At 37.5% G+C, this 10,209-nt stretch overlaps 1 protein-coding gene across 2 annotated transcripts; it reads left to right on the forward strand.

The window, feature by feature from the left end:
• Nucleotides 1–243: 243 nt before the first annotated feature.
• On the forward strand, nt 244–10,209 carry FAM216B (family with sequence similarity 216 member B). 2 transcript variants are annotated; one of them, NM_001318932.2, is made up of 4 exons: nt 244–324; nt 2,714–2,826; nt 5,423–5,543; nt 7,251–10,209. In NM_001318932.2, the coding sequence occupies exons 2-4, from the start codon at nt 2,728–2,730 to the stop codon at nt 7,448–7,450; spliced, it is 420 nt and encodes a 139-aa protein (NP_001305861.1). In that variant the 5' UTR covers nt 244–324; nt 2,714–2,727; the 3' UTR covers nt 7,451–10,209. The 2 variants fall into 2 exon arrangements, with proteins under 2 accessions (NP_001305861.1, NP_872314.1); NM_182508.3 differs by having other exon boundaries at nt 2,720–2,826.

Below are 10,209 nucleotides of genomic sequence, written 5' to 3' on the forward strand. Positions count from 1 at the left end.
TAATATTTAGAATCTCTGCCTCTATGCATGTTACCCCCGATATCTGCATGTAACACAGATATGGTAGATTTAGAAGATGACACTTGATTAGACACAAAATGTGGAAGAAAAAATATCAAACTGTGTAGCTGAATGTTACCCAGAAGTGAAGAAAGGCATGCAGCCAGATTTCCCCAGCTCTTTGTTTCATCACATGATGTTGCTTGGATATCAGCTTATCAACAGACTTCCACCACCACCACCAGCATATAAACAGAGTCCGCGTAAGAAAACTACACTGAATAGGAATGGCAGCTTTTAAAAGTGGGGGAACTACAGTATAGGGTAAGTTCTTTTTAGGCAAATCTGTCTTTTTGTTTCAGATATATTATTTTGTAGATGTTTCTCTCCCTGAATTCCATGAGTATTTTAATCAAATTTTATCAGGTATAGGCCACTTGAATAGGTAAGATAAATTTATTCAGCAGTAGCCCCAGAAAAGCACACATGAATTGTTGCCATAAGAAAGAGCATCAGTCATTTCTTTATGCTATTTGAGGAGAGAAGAAATCTTTCCAGCTTGAAGCATATTTATTCTCTGTTCTACAGATCTGGAAAATGGGAGGAGGGATATTGAAATGATTTGAGTACAGGATAGAGCGTAGGTGTCAATCACAGAGAATATTACAGGAGTATATCTTGGTTGGTATGGTTTCTGGAGTGCACATTAAAGGAAAGCAGTACTGACTAAAATATTTACAGTTTAATTTAGACATTTATATAGCAGAAACAGTACACACAGAGATGTTGACTAATGTTTTCCTAATAAATTTCTCTTCTGGAAGAATGGAACCTTCGATGTGTGAACTCAAATCAGTCTCCACATGTATTACAATACTCCTTAAGCATGTGTATGTTTATGAACCTATGAGTGTGCATGTGTTTGTGTGCATGAACATGCGTGAAGGTCGGGTAGAGAGAGAAGAAACTGGCATAAAGTGAGAGCATTCTATATTCACGATTTCAGTGAATCAAACACCCAGTGAGGTAGGCATTGTAACTGCTGTCTTAAGGATGAGAGGGCTGAGGCTTACAGAAGGAAAGAAACTCAAGTCTTTCTAGTTCTAAAGGCCATACAGCCTCTATTACAGTTTATTTTCTTCAGTTAATATACGTGCAGGTATTAATAATAATCTACGTTTAGCAGATTGTTACTATGTTTGATTTGCTGTGGTCTTACTTTCTATCATTCAGTAATTCACACTGCTAACAAAGACAAAGGAGTAAGCAGAGGGGAAAATACTCTGGGTTTGCACTTTGTGATTTGGCAACCTATTCCAATATGTCTATTCTTGCTGGATTGTTAAATTCATATTATTATACACACTTCAGACTCTAAACCCTAAATCACCAGGAAAGGAGACTTAATCATAGCAAATGTGACTCTATTATTCTGTATCTTTCTCAGGCAAGTGGAAACATGACAAGTTTAATAGTTTTATAGTACAATGCTATAAAATTGCACATCTAAATTGCAAGAAGTGGAGAATGACGTAAAGGCATACTACACTGCCACTAAAAATCATATTTTTAAGGAATATTTAATGATCTGAGAAAGTGCACAAAATGTATAAATTATGATCTCCCTTTTCTAAAATTACACACAATGTACACAGAAAAAAAAAATAAATAAATAAAAGGAAAGTGAAGCTCAGCATGGTGCCTCATACCTGTAATCCCAGCACTTTGGGAGCCTGAGGTGCAGGATAACTTGAGCCCAGGAGTTTGAGACCAGCCCAGGGAACATAGGGAGATCTTATCTCTACTAACAATTTAAAAAATAATTGGGTGTGGGGTGTGTACCTGTAGTCCCAGCTACTCAGGAGGCTGAGGTGGGAGGATGGCTTGAGCCCAGGAGTTCAAGACTGCGGTGAGCTATAGTCGCACCACTGTGCTCCAGCCTGGATGATAGAGTGAGACTCTGTCTCAAAAAAACATATAAATAAATAAACAAATAAAAGGAAATCAACCAAATGCTAACAATAATTATGGATAGTTAGATGCAAGTTGAGTATGCCTTATCCAAAATGCTTGGGACCAGAAGTGTTTTGAATTCCAGATTTTTTTTTTTTGATTCTGGAAAATTTACATTATCTTTGCCAGTTGAGCCTCCCAAATTCAAAAATCCAAAATCCAATATGCTCCAATGAACATATCCTTTAAGCATCTTGTGGGCACTAAAAAAGTTTTGGATTTGGAGCTTTTCAGATTTTGGGCTTTTAGATTTGGGATGCTCAACTTGTATGAGTAATCTTATTTTCTTCTTCAATTTTTAAATTTTTCCAAATCTTCCAAAACAATATATATTACTTTTAGAATCAGATATGAAAATCAATATTATTTAAAATTATCAAAAAATTACTACTATAAAAATAGTATGCTCTACAACACACCTGTTCCAAACAGTTAGAAAGACAAGGGCTCTGAATTATTCCTTAACTTCACAAATAATTAATAATTATTTTTATATATAAAGGGTGAGAATAGGAAAATGTGTGGAATTAAGTAGTCTGGTGATGTCCAATTACTTGGAAATGTGAGCAAATGTTCTTATCCCTTAGAACAAATTACATTTTTAAAAATTCATTTACTTGCTTACTTATTTACTTAAGTACATCCCCAAAATTGGTTGAGCTAAAAGAAATTTTATGCTATGCTTTGTTGTTTCTTGGAGGTATAGGATAAACGATGGGACAAAACTGGAAAAGACAACAAAAGCTTTGGAATGTTCCACAACTTCCTTTTATTCGAGTTCCTCCCTCCATCTATGACACTTCCTTACTAAAGGTATGGCTTTTTTTTTTTTTTTTTTTTCACAGATAGAGTGACCTGTCTGTCTCTCCTTCAAGGTTTGAGGACTTTTTCTGCTGTCTTTGTTTACCTAGCATTAAGAAGAATATTGGCCGCATAATAAGCCCTTGCTGCATGTTGAAGGCCATTCATGAGTGAACGAATGAGCACTTGGGTAACCTCCTACACTCGTCCCATTTCAGGAGCTCTGGTAGACGGTCACCTCTTCGTGGCTGACCCACTGTCAGTGATGGGAAACTCACTAATTGGCCACACTATGGCTCCCTGTTGGAGAGCTGTTAGTTCCTTTTGGTCAAAGTTAGTTAAAGCCATTCTCATAAATACGCTGTAAAAATTTCAGTTCTCGGCCGGGCGCGGTGGCTCACTCCTGTAATCCCAGCACTTTGGGAGGCCGAGGCGGGTGGATCACGAGGTCAGGAGATCGAGACCATCCTGGCTAACATGGTGAAACCCCGTCTCTACTAAAAATACAAAAAAAAAAAAAAAAAAAAAAATTAGCCGGGCGTCGTGGCGGGTGTCTGTAGTCCTAGCTACTCAGGAGGCTGAGGCAGGAGAATGGCGTGAACTCGGGAGGCAGAGGTTGCAGTGAGCCGAGATCGCGCCACTGCACTCCAGGCTGGGTGACTGAGCAAGACTCCGTCTCAAAAAATAAATAAATAAATAAATTAAAAATAAAAAAAAAATTTTCAGTTCTCTCCCAAACCCTCAAGGAAGGATCAACAACAAGGTAAAAATATTAGTAATGTTACCTGTTACTTCTCATTTAGGAAGTTTAGGGTTTTACTAAGGAAAAGAGGTAGGCATTTTCTGCTTTGTAAAATAAAATCATCACTTTTAAGATTTTTATCTTCTATGGAAACTCCCATTGTACTTTGGAGTCCTGCTCTTGAAATTGGCTTACAATTTTCATATTATCTTGTTCTCAATCATTTTAAAAGGCAAAATTAGTTATTCAGGAGTGGAATTCATTCTCTTCAAATATGTTATCCTTTAAAACATCCACTTCAGAAACTAAAGCTGAAATAATGTCTCAAATTATGAAGTACTTGGCTTTGCTACTTTCACTCTAGATATATTTTCGATACTAAGTTTAAGGCCAAAAAAACCAAAAACAAAACAAAACACTAACTCACAGATTTCAGGCCCACACAAAATGTCTAACAGGTAAAAGTCACCTTACTCTACCTTTACATATAATTATCTTAAGTTTAGTTTTTATTGCATAGTTATCAACCCATTTTGAAAATTCTGTTATCGTTTTGAATTTTTTGGCCTAGGGTGAACTTACTTTATCTTAATTTTTCTAAAATGTTGATGCCACTATTGTTTCCCTATCTGTAAAGTGAACACAATAAATTGCTCATCTCATAGGACTGTTGAAACTTAAGAGATTATGCATACAAAATACATGCAAATGCAAAATGTTGAGCACCGTATATAATGAACACTTAAGATATATTAGGTATGCAATAGTAATTGAAATCCTGACACTTCTTGTTTCTTTCTACCTTTAAGAAAGTAGCCTTCTAAATGGTCTCTCTACCAATGGTCTCTTTCTTCAAGCCCATTCTCCACTGCATGGCCATTTTTTTTTAAATGCAAATCTGGTCAGTTAAGAGTATGGTGTTTCAGGTTGGATCATTTGCTGGAAAGGCGTGGGAAGCTGTCCTGTGCATTACAGGATGCTAAGCACATCCCAGGCCTCTACTCACTGAATGCCAGGAGCACCCCCTCCTCCTCCCACCAATTAGGACAATAAAAAAATTTTGCAGGCATTGCCAAATGTCCCCTGGGGTCAAAATCATCCCTGTTGAGAGCCACTGCCTTAAATAAAGACCTTTGGTGGCTCCTCATAGAATATTTAATCCTTAAACTCAACATAGTTAAAAGGTTTCCATCATCTTCCCCTAACAGTCTTTTCACAATCAGACTCTCTTCCCTTTGAACTAAAAAGAAAAAATGTTAGAATTTCTAGCAGGTTTCCAGATGTTGTGTATGCCGTTTGAGAACCAGTATTCTAGTCCCTTAAGGAAACTCCTCATCTAAGACTCAGATAAGATGATCATCTCATTTAGAAAACCTTCCCTGACTGCTTGTTTACATTGTTTGTTTTCATGGCACCTTTTTACTAATGATATAATGAACCCTTACCACATTACTCATCCATCTATCTCCCTTGCTTACTGAGAACTTACAGTGGAAAATTTTCTACCAGTCCAGAGGCCTGGCATACTTCAGCTCTGTGTAGCTTATTACAACCTACTTTCCTCAATAAGGATCAAAGAAATTATAAGATCCTGGAAATCCTTAGATGTCCCTCAGTTCAAGACAATTACCTAGAATTTTTTACTCACATATTTTCATCATCATACAGATTAGCAGAAGACTGTTTAAGCAAATGAAGAGAGGAAACTCCCCAGTTGTTATTTTCCAATTGTTGCACATTAAAAAAAAAAAACATATGGTTAGCAAGAAAAGCCTCTTATTTCCATAAAAGTTTGCTTTGAGTATCACAATTTGAATGCTGTGGAACTCCACACACTCATCAAAATCACCTGTTCTGTTCCAACAGGCCCTCAACCAAGGGCAACAGCGCTACTTTTACAGCATTATGAGGATTTACAACTCCAGGCCCCAGTGGGAGGCCCTGCAGACCCGCTACATTCACAGCCTTCAGCACCAACAGCTGCTTGGTAAGTTTAACTACGTGATCCAAACTAAGCACCTAAGGAATCAACTCGTGCTGTAGCCAGAAGTCGTTTCCAGATAAATAATTCAAGCACAATGGCATCTACTGGCGTGCTATTTTATCAACATAGCTGGTTAGCCAAGTTTCAAAGTGCTTATTCTTGACAATGGAAAGCAAGGTTTTATGGGTAAATTAATAGGGTTTAAAGAAATTCGAGTATGGATTGTGATAAAATGTTAACTCTCTGAGATTTGTGAGAACTTAATCAAGTAAATCAATGGGTCTGGGCTTAGAAAACCAGGCGAGGCTCAAAGCACAGCTCAGCTCCTTGCTGTGTGCAAACTCAGAGGCTTGGTTTATTCACAACAATAATAGTTACATTTATTGCTCACTGACCACGTTCCAGACATTGTGCTAAGAGCTTTACATACAATATCTCATTTTCTCTCCACTTTATGGCTGTAGAAAATGGAAGCTCAGGCAGGTTATGTAACTTGATTAAGATCACACACAGGTAATAAATGTCTGTTAGGACTTCAAGCCAGAGCTGTCACCTCCAAAGATTATACATTTTCAGCCCCATCCTCTGCTGTCTCTCCTCTTCTTTCAACCTCTTTAGATTTTACAAAGCACAAATGAAATAATGGTTGTGAAAGACCTTCACAAATTATAAGCATCAACTTACCGAAAGGCTAATTGTTGTAAAGTCCCTTTTCTTGCAGGAAATGCTTTCAGTTGCTGGCTGCCCTTCATCATACCGTTCTCCTAACTCCACTAGAGTGCTTTTTAAACAAAAATCTACTCACTTGGCTTTAGCACATCTACTTTATGCTGTTGTTTTTATATTTACACAAAAGGAAGGCATGGTTTTTGCAATTGATTTAATAAAAACAATAACAATAGTTACCTTTTATTGAGGACTTCCTGTGTGTCAGGTGCTCTTCTAAGAACTTTGCAGGTATTGTATTTAACACTCAAACACCTGTATGTGGCAGGTGTCTTTATGACCTACAGTTTACAGAAGAGAAAACTAAAACATGAACAAGTTAAATAGCTTGACCAGGGTCATGCAAGTATTTAATAGTAAACAGAGAAGCCGAGATTCAGTCTGGTCTCCATGATTGTCTGAAGTGTCACTAGAAGCATCATCTAGTAGCTTTGTTTTTAGAGCAAAAATTGCATAGAAGCCAATGAATCCAGAAACAGAAGTATTCAATGCTTAGTGCACATAAAATCCACCAGGTACCTTATTAAAATGCAGATTTCCAAGATTAACCCTCTGAGTTTCTGATTCAGAAGGTCTTTAGAGTCATAAATCTGCATTTTTAATAAGGATTTTGAAAAAGCATGTGGCCTCAGCCCAATGATTCACCAGTTGGTGGTCTGCAGACTACACGTTGAGAAACACTGAGAGAGATCAAATATATCTTTCTGGTTTGAAGAAAGTTTTGATATCGAAGATATCATGGCTCAAGTCCCTTTCCAAATAATCTGACATGTTAATCAACGACCAAGTGTTTATTAACTTATTGAATGAGAAATACAAAAGAAGAAAAATATATTTCCAATCTTCAAAGATCATATAATCTGGGCATGCTTACCACAAGAGTAGAATAAATTTTGTACACATAAGTAAATATTTGCAGTTTTGTTTTCTTATTTGCCTTGTAAAATTGTTGATTTTGAAGTTTCTCTCATTTCTTTCCCCTAGGCTATATTACTCAACGGGAAGCCTTGTCTTATGCTCTTGTACTTAGAGATTCAACCAAGAGAGCCTCAGCCAAGGTAGCTCCTCAAAGAACCATTCCCCGGAAAACTTCAGCCATGACAAGAAGATGTCCATCAGTACTACCTGTATCTGTGGTTCTACCTAGGGCCCAAAGTAAAAGGCGCCAAGTGCTCAGGAACTGAGACTTGGCAGCATTTTCAGAAACAGGAAGTTTGCCCATGTATCCCTGGTATCTAGTGGGTGCTTTGTGCATATTTGTTGAATGACAGTGAATAATTTCTAATATAAACCCCAGACCTAAAAATAATCTCTGATTCATATAAATTTTGCCAGCAAGACCAAGAGGTTTAAGAGCAATGGAGCCGAGAGTAAGCAAGCCTTTCCACATAACATCCGTAGAGTAAAAGGACTTTTAAAGCTTTCAAAGTAAAAGTTTACTTTGGATTAGAACCTCCTAGAGAAGTCCCCAAAACAGTGAAAGGGGACAAGTGACCAGAAAGGGCCAGGTCCTCTGTCACTGGGTGACCATTTCTAGCAAACTATCATGTATACATTTTGAAAATATACAAAACAACACAGGATTAACACTGATCATAGAGGGCTTACAAAATCATATCATCCCAGCAACAATTGGCCTGTGCATTTCCTTCCTCTCCTCTTCCCCATCAGGCAATGGCATTTAATTTAGCCCCAAAGCTCTTCTAGTTCTCACCTGGCTTGATCACTTTGTGTCATCTTGAAACATGCACTTATCAGTCTACCACAGCTGAATTGATTTTATGGAGCTGTAACTGGCCTTGACATGGGTAAGAGAATTCATGCACACATCTTTCCCTGGCAGCTGAAGAAACACTCTTAAAAGAATATGAAATAACCCCGAAGACTTTATTTCATGTCCAACCTTTCTGTGGCCTCAAATGTTTTAAGCAAAGCACATAAAACTATACTAAGCAGTGAGTCAGTTCATCATACAAAGGCATAGTATTGCATTAGTTATATTTAATGGTTATTTTCATCACCAGAGATTTTGTGTGTGTGTGTGTGTGTGTGTGTGTGTGTGTTAAAAATCAGTCACCAGTGCTCATGTAAAGTCAAAACAAAAAAATGCTTCTTCCTCATCATTGTAAAATACGTCACCCCATTCAAATCAGCTGATGCCTATGAAAGGAATTGGTTGAGGTGGAATATAAATTTTATTGACAAGGGATGTGCTAACATTGATCTGAAAGGAATATGCTGCATTATTATCAGAAAAAAAATCATTATCTTCTCTTTGCAATCATGAACATATAAGATATAAAAATTGTCATGAGATTCTGAACACTAGTATTGAGGTCCAGCACTACTTCCAAGCTCCTATCTGACTTTTCTTTGGGAGGAATGGGAAGTGTGGTTGGCCCACTAGTCTGATAAGAAGTCTTGGTGAAGCTAATACTGACCTTGCTGGGGTCATTCACTTAATCATAAAGAAGCTTCTTGACCTCTGCAAATTCTGGCCCTGACATGTATTCTAAATACCTTTACAGTTCTAAGTGAGAAATTGTTACATAGGCTTAGAAGAAGAAAAGACTCCAGTGGGACTGGGATGAGCTGCGTGGTAGCCCTCATAAAGCAGAGAGGTTGGTGGGAGACCTAACTTGGCCTATACTAGCCTTCCCATTGTTTTCACAATGGGCCTTTTATCCCCTCTGAACTGCTTGCCTGCACTTTTATCTTAGACTTTTTTTTTTGATGAGCATAGGTATTTGCTGTGTAAGCCTTATCTAGTGATGCAGAATATCAAGGAGGCCACTTACAATTCTAAGCTGCATCCCTGTATCAAAAATCTCAGAAGCACCTTGCATCTGATAGAGGCTTGTAAGAGCAGATTGACAGGTGAATGTCACAGGTCCATAAGAAGGACAAATAGATCTAAGTTGGGCAAAAGATTCTATTTGTTGGTTCTCCCTTCTAAGATGATAATATGCCCCTGCACTTGAGACCTTACTTGAAACTTAAAGAAATGTGATTGGTTATGGTGCTGGGAGAAAGGGGTGCACCTGGGAGGACACTGAGAAAGATAAACAAAGGGGAAGGAAGAGAGGACAACCTGTAACTTTTAGAAAAGGCTACTACTTTTAACTGTTGGAGAAAATGCTATTGCTTGCACTCACAATGTCAATATACATTATCAGAACTTAAGTCCTGGAGATCAGAGACTGTTTCACCTGAAATTGCTAGCACCTAGAATGGCCCCCGGTTGCGGTAGGCAATCAATAATACTCTTTGAATAATAATGAGGTTTTCAAAGATTCTGCAAGTCAGACTGGCCTCTGGCTTTGTGATATTATTCTAGAGTCCCAGTAACCCACAATTGTTGATGAGGAGTAGCAGTAGAATATCAAGGACAGGTGATGAGACAACAAGTCTATCCCGCAAAGGGCAGGGAATAGAGGGTACACTGGAAAGAATTTGAAAACAATAATAAAGCTGACTACAAGTTGGTCTATTTTTTATTACCACCATGAGCCAGCAATTCTAAATAATATCAGTGATAAAGTATTCATCCCCCAAAATATTTTATTGAACTAGGTTCTAAACAATTTCTGAGGTTACTGTTGAGTTTTAAATAATACATATATGTAAGCTTCAAAGTAGCACATTTGTACTGTTTTTCTTCAATAATCATTTTACTCCACATGGAAACTAATTCAGGGAATATCCTGCTATATAGTTGGCTCTCAGTACATATGGTGTCAGCTCATGTGTCTCCAGCCCCTGTAGTACTATATATTATTGCATTTAAATGATGGATTTGAAATAAACAATGATTATACCATGATTGTAAAGACAAGAAACAGAACCTGAAATACTTCAATTTTTGATTCTATGTGGCAGTTTAGAGTTTTTTAAAACAATTTTTATGTATAATTTATATGCAATAAATGCCCTCAAAGTTCAA

The sequence above is a fragment of the Homo sapiens genome, chromosome 13, assembly GCF_000001405.40.
Source record: "Homo sapiens chromosome 13, GRCh38.p14 Primary Assembly".
Classification (NCBI taxonomy): Eukaryota; Metazoa; Chordata; class Mammalia; order Primates; family Hominidae; genus Homo; species Homo sapiens.